The 22,269-nt window shown below is 42.0% G+C and overlaps 1 long non-coding RNA gene across 7 annotated transcripts in view, besides 4 other annotated features; it reads right to left on the bottom strand.

Moving 5' to 3' along the window:
• The window catches only part of LL0XNC01-250H12.3 (uncharacterized), a 113,164-nt gene that overhangs the window by 62,180 nt on the left and 28,715 nt on the right, over positions 1–22,269 (bottom strand). For all 7 annotated transcript variants that reach the window (NR_188439.1, NR_188440.1, NR_188433.1 and 4 more), the window contains exon 3: positions 5,104–5,267. This is a non-coding gene — a long non-coding RNA (uncharacterized LL0XNC01-250H12.3). The remainder of the gene's footprint in view (positions 1–5,103; positions 5,268–22,269) is intronic.
• Positions 13,955–14,641: an enhancer, noted in NCBI's record as "H3K27ac hESC enhancer chrX:102696051-102696737 (GRCh37/hg19 assembly coordinates)". NCBI's record gives its function as "activates a minimal SCP1, AML or CMV promoter by ChIP-STARR-seq in primed H9 embryonic stem cells {active_cell/tissue: H9 hESC(primed)}" and the evidence as "EXISTENCE:reporter gene assay evidence [ECO:0000049][PMID:30033119]".
• Positions 14,642–15,327: an enhancer, noted in NCBI's record as "OCT4-NANOG-H3K27ac hESC enhancer chrX:102695365-102696050 (GRCh37/hg19 assembly coordinates)". NCBI's record gives its function as "activates a minimal SCP1, AML or CMV promoter by ChIP-STARR-seq in naive H9 embryonic stem cells {active_cell/tissue: H9 hESC(naive)}" and the evidence as "EXISTENCE:reporter gene assay evidence [ECO:0000049][PMID:30033119]".
• Positions 19,710–20,209: an enhancer, noted in NCBI's record as "NANOG-H3K27ac hESC enhancer chrX:102690483-102690982 (GRCh37/hg19 assembly coordinates)". NCBI's record gives its function as "activates a minimal SCP1, AML or CMV promoter by ChIP-STARR-seq in naive H9 embryonic stem cells {active_cell/tissue: H9 hESC(naive)}" and the evidence as "EXISTENCE:reporter gene assay evidence [ECO:0000049][PMID:30033119]".
• Positions 20,210–20,711: an enhancer, noted in NCBI's record as "NANOG-H3K27ac hESC enhancer chrX:102689981-102690482 (GRCh37/hg19 assembly coordinates)". NCBI's record gives its function as "activates a minimal SCP1, AML or CMV promoter by ChIP-STARR-seq in naive H9 embryonic stem cells {active_cell/tissue: H9 hESC(naive)}" and the evidence as "EXISTENCE:reporter gene assay evidence [ECO:0000049][PMID:30033119]".

The raw sequence follows: 22,269 nt of genomic DNA, 5'->3' as shown, positions 1-22,269 counted from the left end.
TATGTAGAAAGCTGAAACTGGATCCCTTCCTTACACCTTATACAAAAATTAATTCAAGATGGATTAAAGACTTACATGTTAGACCTAAAACCATAAAAACCCTAGAAGAAAACCTAAGCAATACCATTCAGGACATAGGCATGGGCAAGGACTTCATGTCTAAAACACCAAAAGCAATGGCAACAAAAGCCAAAATTGACAAATGGGATCTAATTAAACTAAAGAGCTTCTGCACAGCAAAAGAAACCACCATCACAGTGAACAGGCAACCTACAGAATGGGAGAAAATTTTTGCAAGCTATTCATCTGACAAAGGGCTAATATCCAGAATCTACAATGAACTCAAATGAATTTACACGAAAAAAACAAACAACCCCATCAAAAAGTAGACGAAGGATATGAATAGACACTTCTCAAAAGAAGACATTTATGCAGCCAAAAAACACATGAAAAAATGCTCATCATCACTGGCCATCAGAGAAATGCAAATCAAAACCGCAATGAGATACCATCTCATACCAGTTAGAATGGCGATCATTAAAAAGTCAGGAAACAACAGGTGCTGGAGAGGATGTGGAGAAATAGGAACACTTTTACACTGTTGGTGGGACTGTAAACTAGTTCAACCATTGTGGAAGACGGTGTGGCGATTCCTCAGGGATCTAGAACTAGAAATACCATTTGACCCAGCCATCCCATTACTGGGTATATACCCAAAGGATTATAAATCATGCTGCTATAAAGACACATGCACACGTATGTTTATTGCGGCACTATTCACAATAGCGAAGACTTGGAACCAAGCCAAATGTCCAACAATGATAGACTGGATTAAGAAAATGTGGCACATATACACCATGGAATACTATGCAGCCATAAAAAATGATGAGTTCATGTCCTTTGTAGGGACATGGATGAAGCTGGAAACCATCATTCTCAGCAAACTATCACAAGGACAAAAAACCAAACACCACATGTTCTCACTCATAGGTGGGAATTGAACAATGATAACACATGGACACAGGAAGGGGAACATCACACACCGGAGACTGTTGTGGGGTGGGGGGAGGTGGGAGGGATAGCTTTAGGAGATATACCTAATGCTAAATGACGAGTTAATGGGTGCAGCACACCAACATGGCACATGTATACATATGTAACAAACCTGCACATTGTGCACATGTACCCTAAAACTTAAAGTATAAAAAAAAAAAAAAAAAAAAGAAATGTAGACTTACGCCTGCTTCCTGTCACATTTCCAAGTATTCTCTTTGGTATTCATGATGTGAATTTTAATGTCAGAGGCATCGCACTGACAGAATGAAGGAGGCAAAGTTGGAGTGGGGAACTTACATTTGTTGAAGGCCTACTAGATGCAACACGATATGGGTTGTTATCTTCAGACTTTTTCTCTTCAAATGCTCAAAGCCATGCTCTAAGGTAGACATCATTACTTCCTTTCTACAGATGGGGATATAGTCAGGTTCAGAGAGCAAAGTACATGCTCAAGGAATTTTAGGGAGGTGTTAATTGGACACTGAAGCCAACTTCAAGGTCCTTCCACTGGCCAATTCTGGGACAATTTGAGCATCGAAATTTATAATAATAATAATAGCACAGGGTAATCCTTTCAGAAAAATGAGAATCTCTGAGTCACACTGATATACATACATACATACACAGATAAATAAGAAGAGAAAACTCTGCCCTTTTCTAAATGCCAACTCATAGTTTTGAAAGGAATATCAGAATTTTAAAAACAACACTTCACAACTATCATCGAAATAAGTGACTCAGGCAAAAATCATAAATGGACACTCACTCTACACTAAATCCCATAAGAGTCATGGAGTCACCATGGTAACCAGGCTAGCCAAGGAACACTGGGAAAAAACAAACAACCCCCTATATCTTGTTACCAACATGTGCTAGGAAATGAATAACACTGACGTAATACATAGTAATTTGTCTCAACATCTCATAATACACATTCCTGGCAGCTTCAGCAACACACAAATTGATACATTCACAAATACTCATATAGATGCATTGCCTCTCCCCAGTGCTCTCTCACCATCCAAGATCCCAGGAATTTTTTAAGGTGGGTTTACTGGGGACAAAAAAGTACAACCTCACATTTTAACATATTCAAATATAGCAGAAACATAAAGTTGAAAGCTACTAACCTATATTATTTTAGTCATTGATTTTTCTGGAGATTACCTGTAGAACTGTCAGGGGTACATTTTTATCCCTAGTTTCAGTGTATTGCCAATGATTTCTAAAAGCTGATATAGAAATACATGTACATGCACATTAAGCATCAAATACCTTTTCCATCCTAGAGTAGCCTGTGCTTTTTACCAAGATTCTTCAATAGTCATTATTAATAATCTGGTTGCTGGTGGTTCCATGAAAATGTAATGATTAAGAATTCTATTTAAGAAATAATACCATTGACAGCAGCATCAATAAGTATGAAATATTTATGAATTATCTGTTCGTAGATATGGAACATTTGTACATTGAATACTACAAAACATTGCTGAGAGAAGGAAGACCCAAAGAAGTAAAGGACATACTGTGTTCATGAGTCAGAAGAGTCAGTATTGTTAAGACGTTTATTCCCCACAAACTAATATACAGATTCAGTGCAATCCCAATAAATGTTCTATACATTTTTCAAAGAAATTGGCAAGTGGATATTAAAATCATATACAAATACAGAACACCTAAACTGTGAAAAACAACTGTAAAATGGAACAAAGGTATAGGACAAACACTACCTAATTTCAAAACTCATTATAAACCTACAGTAATCAAGACAGTGTGCTATTGCCATTGAAGGGGAAAAGTAGATCAAAAGGACAGAATAAGGAATCCAGAAGTAAACCTATGCACACACGGACAACTGATTTTTGACAATGATGTAAAGACTATTCAGTGGAAAAGTAAATAGTCTTTTCAACGAATGGTTCTGTAATAAGTAGATATCCATATACATACACAAAAATAAACTGTAATCCATATATCACAACATATACAAAATCAACTCAAACTGAATATGAGACCTAACTATAAAATCCAAATGTATAAACTCCTACAAGAAAAGACAGGAGTAAATCCTTGTGACTGTGAGTAGGTAAACATTTTTTAGATAGGACATCAATAAAAACATCTTAACCCTAAATAAAAAAATTATAAATGGCACTTCCTCAAGGTTAAAAATTTCTGCTCTTCTAAAAGCCACTGTTGAGAGAATGAAAAGATAAGTCAATGACTGGGAAAAAGTATTTGAAGAATCGTATAACTGACAAAGAATTTATATCCAGAATATATAAAATCATTTAAAAGTAAAAAGTAAACAGACACTCCAATAAATAAATGGGAAAATAATAGAAACAGAAACTTTACCAAAGAATATATACAAATGGCAAGTAATCACATGAAAAGATGTTTAACAATAATAGTCATTAAGAAAATGTAGGCCAGGTGCAGTGGCTCATGCCTGTAATCCCAGCACTTTGGGAGGCCGAGGTGGGCAGATCACGAGGTCAGGAGTTTGAGACCAGCCTGGCCAACATGGTGAAACCTTGCCTCTACTAAAAATACAAAAATGAGCCAGGTGCAGTGGTGGGTGCCTGTAATCCCAACTATTCAGGAGGCTGAGGCAGGAGAATTGCTTGAACCCAGGAGGCAGAGGTTGCAGTGAGCTGAGATTATGCCACTGCACTCCAGCCTGGGTGACAGAGCAAGACAATGTCTTGAAAAAAAAAAGTAAATTAAAACTCTAATGAGATATTACTATGCACCCATGAGAATGGCTAAAGTAAAAAAGACTGACCATACCAAGCTTTGGCAAGGTTGTGGAGAATGGAATTCTCATATACTGCTGATGGGAATGAATAAGGAATGGTACTACCACTTTGGAAAACAGTTTGGCAGTTTCTTACAATGTTAATCTCACATCTACCACATGATCCAGCCATTGGACTCCTAGTATTTACCCTAGAGAAAGAAAGCATGTGTACATATAAAGACATTTACACAAATGGTTATGGCAGCTTTATTTAGAAGAACCCCAAACTGAAAACTACCTACTGTCCATGAAAAAGTGAATGGATAAAACAAATTGTGGTATATCCATATACTACTTAGCAATTTTAAAAAGGAATTATTCAATCATGCAACAATAAAGATAAATCAAAAAGTTAATAGGCTGAATGTAAGAAGCCAGACCAAAAAAATACATATTGTATGATGCCATTTACATAAAATTATAGGAAATGTAAATCAATCTACAATGACAGAAGAGCAGTGGTTGCCTGGAAATGGAGAGAGATAGGAGGGACATGGAAGCTGGAGGGAGACAGGTAGGTGGGATGATTACAAAGGGGCAGGAAAATGCTTTTTGGGGTGATGGATATGTTCATTACTTTGACTATGGTGTTGGTTTCATTGGTGCATACATATGCCAAAGCTTACTAAAGTAAAGGCTTTAAATATACTTAGTATATTTCATATCAAACATACCTCAATAAAGCATCTGAAATATACTTGTATTTTTCTGAGATTTGATGATACTGAATTAATCAGGAGAACAATTCCCACTAACATGACCTTGTCACATTAGCAGATGGACACTATGTCTTATCAAGTCGTTCACACTATATATGTCCACAACAGAAATAATCATTTGAAATGAGGTGCATCTAAATATGTAGAGAAAGTTGATGTGCATTTCCTTCTGAAGTTCAAAACTAAAATGTAATAACTTGGTAAAATAAAGTGGTATTTAAGAATACCTGGCTATTTTAGACAACATGGTTATGTATCATTATAATAGGATAAATTCTAGTGTAATTGTCATTTATTAAAATAACAAATTTTTAAATGGGCATTTTAAACTAACACTTCAAAAATTATTGGCTACTACAAAATTTTACCATAGAATGTATAAAAGCCTCACTACCAAGTAAGAGTCTACCTGATAAACCTCTTCTCCAAAGGTGATATCAAAATAGCTTCTCTACTTTTAGATTATTTTGTGAACCTCACAAGTGCTTTTCTACAACATGCTTCCGTTCACATCTGTGAGCTCACCTGAGACAGGCATCACATCCCACCAGGGATGGAAGTGCTAGAGGTTTCCTGAGAACTGCTGACCTTCAAATATGGAGTGGAAGCTTCAGCAGCCATCATGACCCACATCTTCAAAACTTGCCTCCTTCAGACACCTGATATCAGCTCAATTACCCGATGAAGAACTGCAAAGAGAAAGAGAGAATCTAGCAATCACTGTGCTTTACTGGAGCAACTATAAGCCTGGCGCCATGCTGGGTACTAGGTTAGTGACCAGTGGCACTGATACAATTGGGTAGTGATCACAACAACCAGGAAGTATAATGGCTTTCTCACTGGGGCCTTTTCATCTTTCTTTGTCTGTCTCATAACAAATTTAAAAAGAAATAGGAAATTGCTTGAATCCATACAAGCACCCATCATCCAGTAATAACCACAGGGCTATCTATCATCTTGCATGTGTATCACTGCAGGTTCCAGCAATCCTGTAGGTGAGCATTCTTCTCCCCATTCTACAGAGGGGGAAGCTGGGTTCAGCGAGTCTTTACCTCTCTCGTCCTCCTGTGTTCCACCTTTACAAGGAAAGTAGCCCCAGGACACCTCGAGCAGGACACCACACTCACTGGGGCCAGGAGGGTCCCAGCTTTCTCATGAGACTGCTAAGGCAACTTGTTCCAAAGTGGGAACGAGGCAACTTGGATCTGGCATCCCTTTGTCCCCCACACCCTAGGGAGGTTCAGTCCCCAACCACAGAGCACCCACACCCTCAGCTGAGTCCTAAACACCTGAAGGCAGGACCTTGCTTTTCTTGCCAGGCTATGTTGGTCTATATTAAAAAGTTGTCACTCCCCAGCACTTTGGGAGGCCAAGGCGGGCGGATCACTTGAGGTCAGGAATTTGAGACCACCCTGGCCAACATGGTTAAACCCCATCTCTACTAAAAATAGAAAAATTAGCCAGGCGTTGTGGTGGGCACCTGTAATCCCAGCTACTCAGGGAGGCTGAGGCACTAGAATTTCTTGAACCTGGGAGGTGGAGGTTGTAGTGAGCCGAGATCGTACCACTGCACTCCAGCCCAGGCGACAGAGTGAGACTCCATCTCAAAAAAAAAAAAAAAAAGTCATAACTCAAGGATGCCCACTTTCACCACTTCTATTCAACGTAGTACTGGAAATCCTAGCCAGAGCAATCAGACAAGAGAGGGGAGGAAGTCAAACTGTTGCTATTCACCAATGATATGATCATATACCTAAAAAACCCAAAAGACTTACCCAAAAGGCTCCTAGATCTGATACACGAATTCAGTAAAGTCTCAGGTTACAAAATGAATGTAAACAAATCAGTAGCACTGCTATACACCAATGACCAAGCTGGGAATCAATCAAGAACTCAATCCTTTTTACAACAGCTGCAAAAAAAAGAAAACAAAAAAATAAACCTAGGAGTATACTTAACCAAGGAGGTGAAAGATCGCTACGAGGAAAGCTACAAAACACTGCTGAAAGAAATCATACGTGACACAAACAAATGGAAACACATCCCATGCTCACGGATGGGAAGAATTAATATTGTGAAAATGACCATACTGCCCAAAGCAATCTACAGATTCAATGCAATTCCCATCAAAATATCAACATTTTTCACAGAACTAGAAAAAATCCTAAAATTCATATGCAACCGTAAAACAGCCCATATAAGCTGGGTACAGTGGCTCATGCCTGTAATTCCAGCACGTTGGGAGGCCAAGGTGGGTGGATCACCTGAGGTCAGGAGTTCGAGACCAGCCTGGCCAACACGGTGAAACCCATCTCTACTAAAATACAAAAATTAGCTGGGCCTGGTGGTGGGCACCTGTAATCCCAGCTACTTGGGAGGCTGAGGCAAGAGAATTACTTGAACCTGGGAGGTGGAGGTTGTGGTGAGTGGAGATTGTGCCATTGCACTCCAGCCTGGGCAACAGAGTGAGACTCCATCTCAAACAAACAAACAAAAACCTGCCCAGCCCACATAGTCAAAGTAATTCTAAGCAGAAAGAACAAATCTGGAGGCATCACATTACCAGACATCAAATTATATTACAAGGCTATAGTTACCAAAACAGCATGGCACTGGTATAAAAATAGGCACTCAAACTAATGGAAAAGAATGGATAACCCAGAAAATAAAGCCAAATACTTATAGCGAACTGATCTTTGACAAAGCATACTAAAACATAAATTGAGGAAAGGACCCCTATTCAATAAATGGTGCTGGGAAAACTGGCTAGCCACTTGTAGAAGAATGAAACTGGATCCCCATCTCTCACGTTATACAGAAGTCAATTTAAGATGCATCAAACACTTAAATCTAAGACCTGAAACCATACAAATTCTAGAAGATAACATCAGATAAACTCTCGTGGACATTGGCTTAGGCAGAGAATTTGTAACTAAGACCCCAAAAGCAAATGCAACAAAAACAAAAATAAATAAATGGGACCTAATCAAAAAGTTTCTGCACAGCTAAAAAAAAATTCAGCAGAGTAAACAGACAACCCACAGAGTGGGAGAAAATACCCTCAAACTATGCATCCAACAAAGGACTAGTATCCAGAATATACAAGAAACTCAAATCAGCAAGAAAAAACAAATAATCCCATCAAAAAGTAGGCAAAGGACATGAATAGACATTTCTCAAAAGAAGATATACAAACAGCCAACAAATATATGAAAAAATGCTCAATATCACTAATCATCAGGGAAATGCCAATTAAAACCACAATGAGATACCACCTTATGCCTGCAAGAATGGCCATAATTAAAAAGTCAAAAAACAATAGATGTTGGCATGGATGTGGTGAAAATGGAGCACTTTTACACTGCTGCTGGGAATGCAAATTAGTGCAACCACTATTGAAAACAGTATGGAGATTCCTTAAGGAACTAAAAGTAGATCTAGCAATCCCACTACTATCTACCCAAAGGAAAAGAAGTAAGTATATGAAAAAAACACATGCAAATGCATGTCCATAGCAGCACAATTCGCAATTACAAGGATATAGAACCCAACCAAAGTGCCCATCAACCAAAGAGTGGATAAAGAAAATGTGGCATATATATACACCACGGAATACTATTCAGCCATAAAAAGGAATGAAATAATGTCTTTTGCAGCAACTTGGATGGAACTGGAGGCCATTATTCTAAGTGAAATAACTCAGGAATGGAAAACCAAATACCATATGTTCTCACTTATAAGTGAGAGCTAAGCTATGAAGATGCAAAAACATATAGAGTGATATAATGGACTGTGGGGACACGGGGAGGGGGATATTGTGAGAGTAGTGAGGGATAAAAGACAATATATTGGGTACCGTATATACTGCTGAGATGACAGGTACACCAAAATCTCAGAAGCCACCACTAAATAACTCATCCATGTAACCAAAAAAACACCTGTGCCACAAAAACTATTGAAATTTTAAAAAAAAATAAAAAAGAAAAAAACAATAAAAAGTTGTCATGGTTGCCATAATGATTTCAGGTTTCTATGGCAACCACCATGCTCAGGCTAGTCCTGCATACCAGAAATGCCTCCACACAGCCCTCCCTTCTGGCTCTTGCCTTTTCCTGAAAGCAAAACACCTTCAGTCTTCAGGCCACCACCTGAGAAATATTAAGAATTAGAGGAATTAACCCCATACAAGGGTGATTTGTGGAATTCTTCCCAGTTTGGTGAAACAAAGCATCTCCCCATTGTCAGGAGTTTTGCTTGCTTTAAAAGTGACAGTAGGGAAGTACCATCACTACACAGAGACCGAGGGAGGTATCCTAAGGCTCTTTGAGACGAACTAGCCCTCTGAGGGTGATGTGTAAAACACATACCATGAAGCAATTAGCTATCCATGGCAGAAAACTAAGAGACTGTCCATAATCATGTGACTGAATAACCTAGGAAGATTAAAAAAAAAAAAGTCATGTAAGGAATCTTAAAGTTATTTCAGGGAAGCAGGGCTAGAATATTATACTTATTTAGCTGGCAGAAACTCATTCAATTGAGTCATATATTGGGATACCCTGGGAAATTTTTATCCTCTGTTCCTGGTATTTTCTCCTATATGGAGGCACATCCATGACAAAAACAGTTCTAGCTTCTCTATACACTCTCTGTGCACTCACTCCTTCTCTATGGCAAAAATCACTTATGTGATTAGTACTTCAAAGGAGAACCAGGGGTTGCACAGCCCAGGCTCTCTCCCTTCAAAATTCTTGGTAGTAATAAGCAGTTAGCCAGCATATGTTCTGCTATGTCCCTTGGGGGTTGGGGGATAGGTCTAACAGTGGGCCTGCAGCTCTTCTCCCCTTTCCTCTTTTTGCTGGCACCCCAACTATTACTATGTTCTTACTCCAAAATGCTTGGGACTTAAAGGGGTTCCCAAAATATACCCCTTGTACAAGTCTGAGCTCTAAGCCAACTAAAAAATATGCAAAAATGATAAAGAAAGCAATACATTGACTCTATTCTTTATAAAGGTGAAATTGGAAAAAGTACCTCAGATCTGCTGAGAAGACATTTCTTCTTAATGAACCCCAGAGTTGGACAGACTTATCCACTAAGTGGTGCTGTGTGGGGACAGTCAAGAAAGTCAAACACTGCAGTGTACATTGCTATCTGGTAGAGTCCTGTCTATGTGTGCTGAAGGAAAGTAGCTTCCTTGCAAGGTTATCCCTATAGCAGATAAAATAGTTTCAGGACACTTTTTTGAGAAACACTTCTCAAAGTGAATAAATACCCCTTGTTCTGATTAAATACTCACCTAGCAACCTTGTAAGAATATGGTTTTTCATGTGGCTCATGGAGCCATTCGTAGCAGCAGCCTCTCAATTTTTTAACCTGTGTAACTGCAGTGAAGCCTCATTTCATGGAGGGGAATTAGAAGTAGGTTCCACATTCCAAGAGTGGGGTAAAATAATATATCATGAAAATTCCTTTGAAAATCCATTTGAGAAGGAATTGAGGAAATTTTCAGAAACTGATACCCATACATAAACCCACATGCAGACTATGGTGAAAATTATAACAAAGTCCCACCAAGTCTTCATGGATAATAGAATCCCTATATTATCCAATGATAACAGACTGCAGAAAAGGAGGAAGAGTACACCCAAACCACGGATAACCATTTCTGCTTAATAAAGCATCCCAAACATTAGCCATTTATTATCTCTCAAGATTCTGAGTATTGACAGGCTCATTTGGGTGTTATTCTGTTCTATATGGTGTCTGCCACCCAGGGCTGCCTCTCCCTGTGCTGTCACCTTAATCATCTGGAGGCTTCACTCGTTTGGTACATCCAAAAGAGATCACTTGCATGGATGATGACTGGTGCTGGCACCTGCTGAGAGTTCACATGGGGCTGTTGACCAGACCAGAGCACCTTGGTCCTACCCTATATTGCAACACCATGTATAGGATTGCCAGATGAAATACAAAAGACTCATTAACTTTGAAATCCAGAAAAATAACTAGTACTTTTTAGTATATGTGACACATAATATAATTTTGTTTTTTTTTTAATTCAAACTTAAATGGGCATCTTGTGTTTTCATTTGCTAAATCTGACCATCCTATGGGATAAGCCTCTGAATTTGTAAGTTAAAAACCATCTGAGATAATACTTCCAATGGGGCAGAACTGGGGAAAATGGGATGATCAGATGAAAAACTAACACAAAATCTGGGAATAAAACAAACGAAAAACCCTGGAAATAACAATAAAAGCTAGTCAGAAAAGTAAAGAGGAAATGGGCACTCACATACACTGTTGGCATCAAATGGACATATCTGGTTCTATGGCCATATTATTATGATTTAATGACTTCAATGGCCTTTGTACAGAAGTCCTATTACCACCAACAAGAGAGTTTCAGCTGAGGGTTTACAAAAGGCTCATCAATGTGACTCTGATTTGCATCCTGATTAGGGGCCCTGGCTGAGAGGGCAGGTCAAGTTGTCACATGAGTTCCCTGTTCCAGGGAAGAAACACAGCTTCTACTTATGGAGCAGGTTGTTCAGAGGGTCCTAGCTCCAGGTTCTTCATGTTAGCATCTGGATTTAATCTCATGACAGCCCTGCTAGTGAGGTATCAATATCCTCTCTTCATGGATGTATGTGACTACAAAACAGATACTGCTAACCACAGAGCTAGATGGTAAAGAGGTTGGTCACCAGGTCCACTGCCAGAGCCAGGGACAGAACCTACCAGCCTAGGTACCTTGAATTGCTAGTGAGGGATCTTTAGCAAATTTATCAGGATACGTGCTGCTGTGAGGTTTATCTCTGTTCTCCCTGTGTTTACCCTTTCTACAGGAGGAAGCCAGCCTTTGTGCCCCCTCCCCTTGTCTGAAGGGAGGTTTATGGCAGGGCCAGAAGCAGAAGCAAAGGCCCCTCACCTGCCTGTGCCTTTGAGGACACAGAAAGGGGACAGGTGGGAGACTTCTTCAGGCAGGGATGAGATTGGATGTCTACAAGGCCCTCCAGGAGTAGAGACCTGAGCACTGTTCCATATCAATGCTTGAAGTAGCTCCATGGCTGTCTATTGTGGTTAGGAGTACGTGTTTTGTAGCATCTTGTCATGGTAGATTTTCTAGTTTGAACCAAGAGGTAGAAGAACATGAGTACTGCTCTATATCAATGCTTGAGGTGGATCCAGCCATGAGACAGATTTTCTTGCTTGGATGGAAGAATGGATGAAGCAGGGTGGGCGGCAGGGGGCTGAAGGCAACAAGCCAGCTAGAAAAATGGCCAGTCTGAAGTAGCTGGGACATGTAAGTGATGATGGCTATGGCCTCTTCAGGCTGTATCTGGATGATAAGTTGCCATAGGAACATTGCTTTGTCAAAGAGCATGAACATTAAAAGCTAGCCTGATTAAATTTTAAAATCTTTTATACTAATGTCTCCCAACAAAATACAGGATGAAAGTACCTGTTTTACTAGGTCTGTGCAAATAATGTATTTCACAACATTATTACTTTTCACTTTTCCCTATCTTATTTCTTTATGAATGGCATATGCCTTAGTTCGTTTGCACTGCTGTAACAAAATACCTGAGACTAGGTAATTTATAATGAACAGAAATGTATTGGGTCACAGTTCTGGAGGCCGGGGAGTTCAAGATCAAGATGTCAGCATCTTGTGAGGGCTTTCTTGCTGTGTCATCACAAGGTGGAAGGCAAGAGGGCAAATGAGAGAGTGAAAGGGGGCCAAACTTGCCCTTGTATAACAAAACTACTCCTGTGATAAGAAATCCACTCCTGTGATAATGGCATTAATCCATTCATGAAGGCAGAACCCTCATGGCCCAATCACTTCTTTTTTTTTTTTTCTTTTTCTTTCTCTTTTTTTTTTTTGTTTTTTAAAGAGACAGGGCCTCACTCTCTCACCCAGGCTGCAATCATAGTTCACTGTATCCTCAAATTTCAAGTGATTCTCTCTCAGCCTCCCAAGCAGATGGGAACACAGGCACACAGCACCATGCCTAGCTAACTAATCACCTCTTAATTATCTCACATCTTAATACAGATTGAGCATCTCAAATCTGAAAATATGAAATCTGAAATCCTCCAATATCAGAAGCAGTTGAGTGCAAATATAACCTGCAGAAATACTCACTGGAGCATTTCAGATTTTGAATTTTTTGATTTGGGATGCTCAACTGGTAAGTATAATGCAAATATTTAAAAATCTGAAAGCTAAAACACTTCTAATCCCAAGCATTTTGAAAAAGTTATACTCAACCATACTGTAACAATGGCAATCAAATTTCAACACGAGTTTTGGCGGGGACAAACATTTAAACCACAGCATCTCATCAATGGCCCCTCAAAACTTATGTCCTTTTCACATACAAAATACGTTCATTCCATCCCAATAGCCCCACAAGTCTTAACTCGTTCCAACATCAACTAAAAAGGCCTAAGTCCAGAGTCTTATTTAACTCAACGGAAGGCATGATTCATGCTGAGGCAAATTCCTCTCCAGATGTGAGCCTGTGAAATCAAAACAAGTTATGTATTTTAAAATACAGTGGTGGAACAGGCAATGGATAGACACTCCCATTCCAAAAAGGAGAAATAGACAAGAAAAGAGGGTCCCACGTAAGTCCAAAATTCAACAGGGTGAACAACATTAAATTTTAATGCTCTAGAATAAGCTTCCTTGACCTCATGTCCCATCTCCTGGACACACTGAGGTGAAATTGGGCCCCCAAGGCCTTAGGCAGCTCTGCCCCTATGTCTTTTCTGGGCTTAGCCCACACAGCAATTCTCATAGGTTGGAGTCTCATGCCTGCAGCTCTCTTAGGCTGGTGTTGCACAGTAGTAGCCCTACAATTCTGGGGTCTCTCAGGCAGTCCACTCCCAAAATTCTACGAGGCATTGTCCCAGTGGGGACTCTCTGCAGTGGCTCTGACCCCACAGTTCTGACTGGAGAGAGCCCTGACTAAGGAAATGCCCAGCAGAACTTCCACATCAAAGCTGAGTTTCCACTGGGCATTGCCCTAGTGAGGGCTCTCTGCTTTTGCTCCACCTCTGCAACAAGTCTCTGCTTGTCCACCAAGGCTTCTGAAACATCTTTTGAAATCTAGGTAGAGGAAGACGTGCCCATACAGCTCTTGCATACGGCACACCTGCAGAGTTAGCATCATGTGGATTCCACCACAGTTTATGACTTGTACCTTCCAGTGTGGCAGGTCGAGCTGCACCTTGGCCCATTTGAGCCATGACTGGGGTAGTCAAGAAATGCTGCACTGGAATATGGGGAGCAGAAAATTGAAGCAGCCCTGGGACGTGAGTCCAAAGGTTCTAAGGTCGTCCTCAGCCTCTCTTTTTGACATATTTCCTTCACCCAGGTCTTGGCACTCAGAGCCTGTGATGGGAAGGGTGGCACTGGTAATCTCTGAAGTGACTTTGGGTTCATTCTCCCATTGTTCTGATGAATAGCCCCTGGCTTCCTTCTATCCACACCAATCTCCTTATGAAACGGTCACTTGGAAACATCCTTGGTTTCCTCTCCTGAAAGTGCTCTTTGATTCTCTACCACCTGACTAGGCTGAGAATCCTTTAAATCTCTAAGTTTTGTTCCCCACCCCACCGCCACTTTTTTTTTTTTTTTTTTGAGATGAAGTCACTCTATTGCCCACGGTGGTGTGCAGTGGTGTGCTCTTGGCTCACTGCAACCTCCGCCTCCTGGGTTCAAGCGATTCTCCTGCCTCAGCCTCCTGAGTAGCGGGGATTACAGGCATGTGCCACCTCACCTGGCTAATTTTTGTAGTTTTAATAGAGATGGGGTTTCGCCATGTTGGCCAGGCTAGTCTCGAACCCCTAATCTCCAGTGATCCACCTGCCTTGGCCTCCCAAATTGCTGGGATTACAGGCGTGAGCTACCGTGCCTGGCTCCCTTTTAATTATAAATTCCATCTTTAAATCATTTTTTTCTCTAGCATTTTACTGTATGCAGTTGAAGGAAGACACACAACATATGGAACGTTTTTTTGTTTAGATGTTTCTTTCACCGATTTCCTAGCTCACTGCTTTTCAACTATGCCGTCCACAAAGCCCTTGTGTGGGCTTGGAAACAATTCAGCCAAGTTCTTTGCCACTTTATAATGAAGATGGCCTTTCCTCCAGTTTATAATACTTTGTTCCTCATTTATATGTGAGACCTCATCAGAATGGCCTTTACTGTCCATATTTCTATGAACATTCTGATCATTACTAGAGGGTCAAAGATTTTACCAAAATATTTGTCAGGGGGAAAGTCAGGAGAGCAAAATCACCAGGTGGCCATCGAGTAAGCCCTGGAGACACAAACTCCTTATCTGAGGAATTTAGAAGTGTAACGAAGAAAGCCAAAAACACCTGGCAACCATCAAACAGGCCATTCTGAGGCAAAATTCCTTATCTGAGGAATTTAGAAGTAATTAAACTTCCCTAGTGCCTAAAGGTTCCAGGCCTCTTTCAAAAATTTTCTAAGTAACTAGAATTTCTGTACATCTCTGGAATCCATGCATGTCAAAACTCATTGTACAACCCTTGCTGACATTAAGGAACCAAAATGTCTACAAATGTAATCACTTATTATGACCTACATGGCTAATATGGTCCAAATTACACTTAAGCTCCCACTTTAAGGTCCGTAAATGCTGCATTTCTTCTGCAACATACTTTTTTTCTAATAAAACTTTCCTTTTTCAAACCTATACTGTTGTCAGTAAATTCTTACCAACCTGCAAGTCAACCACTTTCTGATGCTGGGGCTCTGACACCTCACCCAGCAATTACCACTTAAGTAATCTCTAAGAAGCTTCAGACTTTCCCTACAGTTCTCTTCTTTGAGCCCTCACCTGAATTGTTCCATTTATGGAAATCTAGGCTTTTTTACCCTGCTCCTCCAAAATTTTCCAGCCTCCACCCATTATCCAGTTCCAAAGTTGCATCTACGTTTTCAGGTATTTTTTATAGCAACAGCCAGGCTTCTTGACACCAATTTCCTGTCTTAGTCTGTTTTTGCTGCTATAAGACAATACCTGGGACTGGGTAATTTCTAATTAACAGAATTTTATTGGCTCACAGTTACGGAGGATGAGAAATCAAAGATTGAGGGACCAGCATCTGGTGAGGGCCTTCTTGGTGTATCATCACAGGGCAGAGGGCAAGAGGCAAAAGAGACCTGAATGTACCCTTTTATAACAGATTCACTCCTGCAATAATGAACCACCTTCTGTAATAATGACAATCCATTCATGAAGGTAGAGCCTTCACAGCCCAAACACTTCTCAAAGGTTCTGTAAACCACAAGTAAAATTCTAAGCCCCCAACAGACTAATAGACCTCCCCTCTTGGCCAAGGGCATTCCAAAGTAAATCTGAAAGTCTAGTTCATGCCATGGCAGGAATGGGTGGTCAGACATGCCTCATTATACTATTCTGTCTTTGGAATTCAGGCACAACTAACCAGCATTAACATTAAAAGAGATCTTAAGACTGACAAAACAAGACTTTGTAGCAATAAAGACACCAAATAAGACACCAAATTCCAGACTGGCTCTAGTATAGCATCACAAGATAGCAGGCCCTGAATGGAATCAAAGTACTTTACCACAAAACATATCTCCTTGACATATTTTGAAATGGCCCTGCAAAGTTGTCCCTTCTGGTGAAAATCTACATTCTGTAGAGAATTCCCTATCCTTTCCAGGTCTTTCCTCTGATCCAGCAGAGAATTAACGAAGAGTCTGGCACCTTTTTAGGTCTGATAAGAGCTCTGAAGCCTCTCCCTGGAGGCTGCATCTGCATGATAAAACCTTGGTCTCCACAACCCCTTGCCCTAACCCAGACATTCCTATTGATTCCAGGTCTTTAGATAATAACTCTTTCAACCAATTGCCAATCAGAAAATCTTTAAAACCGCTTATGACCTGGAAGCCCCCTCCCTGGCTTCCAGTTGTCCTGCCTTTCCTGACCAAACCAATGTACATCTTATATATATTTATTGATAACTTATGTCACCCTAAAATGTATAAAATCAAGCTGTATCGGAGGCCGAGTGGCGGGGGAGTGGATCATCCGAGGTCAGGAATTCGAGACCAGCCCAGCAACATGGCAAAACCCAGTCTCTACTAAAAATACAAAAATTAGCTGGGTGTAGTGCCACACACCTGTAGTCCCAGCTACTCAGGAGGCTGAGACAGAATTGCTTAAACCAGGAGGTGGAGGTTGCAGTGAGCTGAGATCATGCTGCTGCACTCCCACCTGGGCAACAGAGCAAGAGTCTGTCTCAAAAAACAAAACAAAACAAAAACAAGCTGTAGCCTGACCACTTGGGCATATTTTCCCAGAATATCCCTCGGCTGTATCATAAGCCACTGGTCACTCATATTTGGCTCAGAATAAATCTCTTCAAATATTGTACCGAGTTTGACTTTTTTCATTGACAGTCCCACTGAGACACAGTAGGGATGAGACTTGCCTCTTTAAACCAAAAATTATCTGAGACAAGTCTCAATCAATTTAGAAAGTTTATTTTGCCAAAGTTAAGGATGTGCCCATGACACAGCCTCAGGAGGTCGTGATGACATGTGCCCAAAGTGGTCGGGGTACAGCTCGCTTTTGTACATTTTAGGGAGACATAATACATCAATCAATACATGTAAGGTTTACATTGGTTCAATCTGGAAGGGTGGAGCAACTCAAAGTGGGGGGTGGGGGTGGGGGTTGGGGATGTGGGCTTCCAGATCATAGGTAGAGGAAGAATGTCTGGGTTACGATAAGGAGTTGCAGAGACCTAGGTTTTTGTTGTTGTTGTTGTTTGTTTGTTTTTTGGGACCGAGTCTCGCACTGTCCCGGGCTGGAGTGCAATGGCGCAATCTCGGCTCACTGCAACCTCCACCTCCCGGGTTCAAGCGATTCTCCTGCCTCAGCCTCCCAAGTAGCTGGGATTACAGGCGCCCACCACCACGCCCGGCTAGATTTTTGTATTTTTAGTAGAGACGCGTTTTCACTATGTTGGCCAGGCCAGTCTCAAAGTCCTGATCTCATGATCCACCCGCCTCAGCCTCCCAAAGTGCTGGGATTACAGGTGTGAGCCACTAGGTTTTATCATGCAGATGAAGCCTCCAAGTAGCAGGCTTTAGAGAGAATAGACTATAAATGTTTCATATCAGACTTAACGTTTGTGTTGATATTAATGCTGGAGGGGTATAATGAGGCATGTCCAACCACCACTTCCCGTGATGACCTGAACCAGTCCTTCAAGTTAAATTTTAGAGTGCCCTCCCTGGCAGAACAGGAAGTCCATTCGGATGGTTGTGTGGAGGGCATTTGAATTTTATTTTTGGTTTATAGCCCTCACCCTCACAAATGCATTTTTGTTTTCCAGACTTGCTGGGTTCCCACCACACATGTTGTCGTGAGCTCACTACACACCCTGTCCCTGGAGCATTGGGATGCAGCCTGGAGCCAGGAAGATGACAGTGTTGTGCACAGCTCTGCACTGGTAATGCACTATGCATGAGTCGCCCTCAGGACCTTGTGTTACTGCTGCTGGTTGGCTGGCCAGGCACTGCTGGATACAGCAAGGGCACTGGCGATAGCAGGCAGCAGCTTCAGTCCACACCTGCCAACTTCAGCCTAGCCAAGGGCACCCACATCAGCACGTCCACAGCCTGAGGTCCCCTGGGTTCCACCAAGGACCTCTAATGCAAGCTGATATGGGGCCCTGTGGCCAGCAGGGACCCCTACTAGACCATCCAGACTTTGCACTATAAATCTTACTCAAGGCACCATACCTGCTGATAACAGGACCTTAAAGAAGTTAAGATATGCAACACTCCAACCATAAATCTTCCCCAAGGCAGTTGACCCTAACATCCACATGCACAGGAAACCCCAGAATGGCCACTATATGACCTTCCTGGGCCAGCAGTAGTGAGCAACACCACTATCTTGAACCCACTGAGCATGGACCAAGACTTCAACCAGGACCAAGCATGCACAGACACCATAACAGGAAGGAAGAAATCACTCCAGGAGGCAGAGGTTCCTGATGTCAATCTCTGTACCCTACCCAATAAAAAACGCTGAGAAGCTCCCCTTGGGGAGCCAGCTGGAGGACTCTTTTTCCTGTGCCATCTCCCTTATGCCCAGTGTTTCTGGGCATAAGTCTTAATAAACATTGCCTGGGAAAAGTTTGCCTGGCCTCATGTTAATTCCTGTTACCCTGAGAACCAAGAACCTCCCACTGGTAACACCATCTCCTAATAAAGTCACAATGGCAATCAATCAAATTTCAACATGCATTTTGGAGGGGGCAAACATTCTAACCATGGCAGCATATTTCACATGTACATTTCTAAATACAAATATAATGATCCCACTTTATAACTCATATAATATTCTGGAATAATTCTAAAGTTTAAAAATAAAGCTCAATTGGTGATTTTGTGTTTATGCTGAACCCTCTTTATATGGACAATGTGGGGCCATGAAAACTCCATTACTCTTCCAGGAGAGGAGAAATGTGTGCAACTTCTTTGTGGAGATACTTGGCAACATTTTTGAGAAAATCAAGTGAGTTCCCCATCAGGTACTATGCTCTTAGCTCTGAACTGCAGAGAGTCTCCGGCTCTTGTGTAAGAATGGTCACAGCAGCATGGCTAAAAATATCAAAATAGCCTCAAAGTTGTCTTATTTACAGATATCTCAGAAACACTATTTTAAGAGAAAAAAAGTGCAAAAGGGCACATTTTTTTATGACACATATATAGATAAACATGTACAAACAATTACATTTTTGCATAATTTTCTCACAATGACTCTGTGAGGAAGGCATAATTATTCTCAATTTACAGATGACAAAATCAAACTCACTGATGGAAAATCAATTTTTTCAGATTCATCTAATATGGAGCAGAAATGGGATTCTACCGCTTAACCTCCCCAAAGCATACCCAAAAGTCTCATTTACAGATGATGACTTTCTAGGACTTAAAAACTTATAGTTTTACACATTTCTAGTATTGTGCCCTCATGGGTACTAACTCAACAGCCTCTCTCTCTTTGAAGAAGCTGATTGTGCAGATGAAATCTGGGTGCAGGGTCCTGTAGGTGGCAATGTGTCTGTCAAGGGCTTGTGATCCCTGCCTTCTCTTTATTTGCACTCTCTTCATTTTGGGCTCAATAGGAAATGGCTTTTCCAATATCAATCTGGAAGATCAAATAAGGGAACAGAAAATAATGCAAAATTAAAGAAATGGTTTGGCAATATTCTTCCCTCTCCCCATATCCCTCAGCAAAGTCTTCCTGTAACAGAGAAATGGCTCCAAAGCTTCATTCATAATGCAATTGTGAGTACATTCTACTTCCTGCTCCATTTTCTGGTGGTCTCTATGTCAGTCATATTGTTTGGTTTAGGTAGCTGTCATCACTTCTTTGGAAGGGAGGAGAAAGTTGGGCCAGGATGACCATCTGTTGAAGTCCTACTAGGTGCCATCTACTCTATACAAATTTCTAACTTACCCCACAGAACAGTTTCCTAAGGAAGGCACTGTGAGTTCCCTTTTACAGATGACCAAGGGCAGGCTGACAAAGGCTGAAAAAAGATTCCACTATCATACATGAAGTGAGGGGCAGGAATGGGGTTCAAGCTTTTGTCTTTATGATGGTATTTTATGCATTCCTAAGAGGGGTGATATTACCACTAATGGGTTGTCAGGCCTCTGAGCCCAAGCTAAGCCATCATATCCCCTGTGACCTGCACATATACATCCAGATGGCCTGAAGTAACTGAAGAATCACAAAAGAAGTGAAAATGGCCTGTTCCTGCCTTAACTGATGACATTACCTTGTGAAATTCCTTCTCCTGGCTCATCCTGGCTCAAAAGCTCCCCCACTGAGCACCTTGTGACCCCCGCCCCCACCCGCCAGAGAACAACCCCCTTTGACTGTAATTTTCCTTTACCTACCTAAATCCTATAAAATGGCCCCACCCCTATCTCCCTTCACTGACTCTCTTTTCAGACTCAGCCCCCCTGCACCCAGGTGAAATAAAAAGCTTTATTGCTCACACAAAGCCTGTTTGGTGGTCTCTTCACACGGATGCGCATGAAATTTGGTGCCGTGACTCGGATCGGGGGGACCTCCCTTGGGAGATCAATCCCCTGTCCTCCTGCTCTTTGCTCCATGAGAAAGATCCACCTACGACCTCTGGTCCTCAGACCAACCAGCCCAAGGAACTTCTCACCAATTTTAAATCAGGTAAGCAGCCTCTTTTTACTCTCTTCTCCAACCTCTCTCACTATCCCTCAACCTCTTTCTCCTTTCAATCTTGGCACCACACTTCAATCTCTCCCTTCTCTTAATTTCAGTTCCTTTCCTTTTCTGGTAGAGACAAAGGAGACACATTTTATCTGTGGACCCAAAACTCTGGCACCGGTCACGGACTCGGGAAGACGGTCTTCCCTTGGTGTTTAATCACACGGGGATGCCTGCCTGATTATTCACCTACATTTCATTGGTGTCTGATCACCGTGGGGATGCCTGCCTTGGTCATTCACCCACATTCCCTTGGTGGCAAATCAATTGCGGGGATGCCTGCTTTGGCTGCTCACCCACCCCTTCTCTCCATGTCTCTACCCACCTCTTTTCCACTTTCCTGGGGGACAAGCACCTCCCACCCCTTTTCCACTTTCCTGGGGGGGCAAGCACCTCCCACCCCTTTTCCACTTTCCTGGGGGGGCAAGCACCTCCCACCCCTTTTCCACTTTCCTGGGGGGGCAAGCACCTCCCACCCCTTTTCCACTTTCCTGGGGGACAAGCACCTCCCACCCTGTCTCCACTTTCCTGGGGGGCAAGCACCCCCCACCCCTTCTCTCCGTGTCTCTACCCACCCCTTTTCCACTTTCCTGGGGGGCAAGCACCCCCCACCCCTTCTCTCCATGTCCCCACCCCTTCTCCACTTTCCTGGGGGGCAAGCACCCCCCACCTCTTCTCTCCATGTCTCTACCCTCTCTTTTCTTTCCACTTTCCTGGGGAGCAAGCACCCCCCACTCCTTCTCTCCATGTCTCTACCCTCTCTTTTCTCTGGACTTGCCTCCTTCACTATAGGCAACCTTCCACCCTCCATTCCTCCTTCTTCTCCCTTAGCCTGTGTTCTCAAGAACTTAAAACCTCTACAACTCACACCTGACCTAAAACCTAAATGCCTTATTTTCTTCTGCAATGCCACTTGACCCCAATACAAACTCGACAGTGGTTCCAAATAGCCAGAAAACGGCACTTTCGATTTTTCCATCCTAGAAGATCTAAATAATTCTTGTCGTAAACTAGGCAAATGGTCTGAGGTGCCTGACGTCCAGGCATTCTTTTACACATCGGATCCTCCCTAGTCTCTGTTCCCAATGCAACTCGTCCCAAATCTTGCTTCTTTCCCTCCCGCCTGTCCCCTCAGTCCCAACTCCAAGCGTTGCTGAGTCTTTCCAATCTTCCTTTTCTACGGACCCATCTGACCCCTCCTCTCCTCCCCAGGCTGCTCCTCGCCAGGCCAAGCCAGGTCCCAATTCTTCCTCAGCCTCTGCTCCCCGACCCTATAATCCTTTTATCACCTCCCCTCCTCACACCTGGTCGGGCTTACAGTTTCATTCTGCGACTAGCC

This window comes from Homo sapiens, chromosome X (genome assembly GCF_000001405.40).
Source record: "Homo sapiens chromosome X, GRCh38.p14 Primary Assembly".
Lineage (NCBI taxonomy): Eukaryota > Metazoa > Chordata > Mammalia > Primates > Hominidae > Homo > Homo sapiens.
Note: the sequence above shows the minus strand (reverse complement) of the source record. Positions and strands in the feature narration are given on the sequence as shown.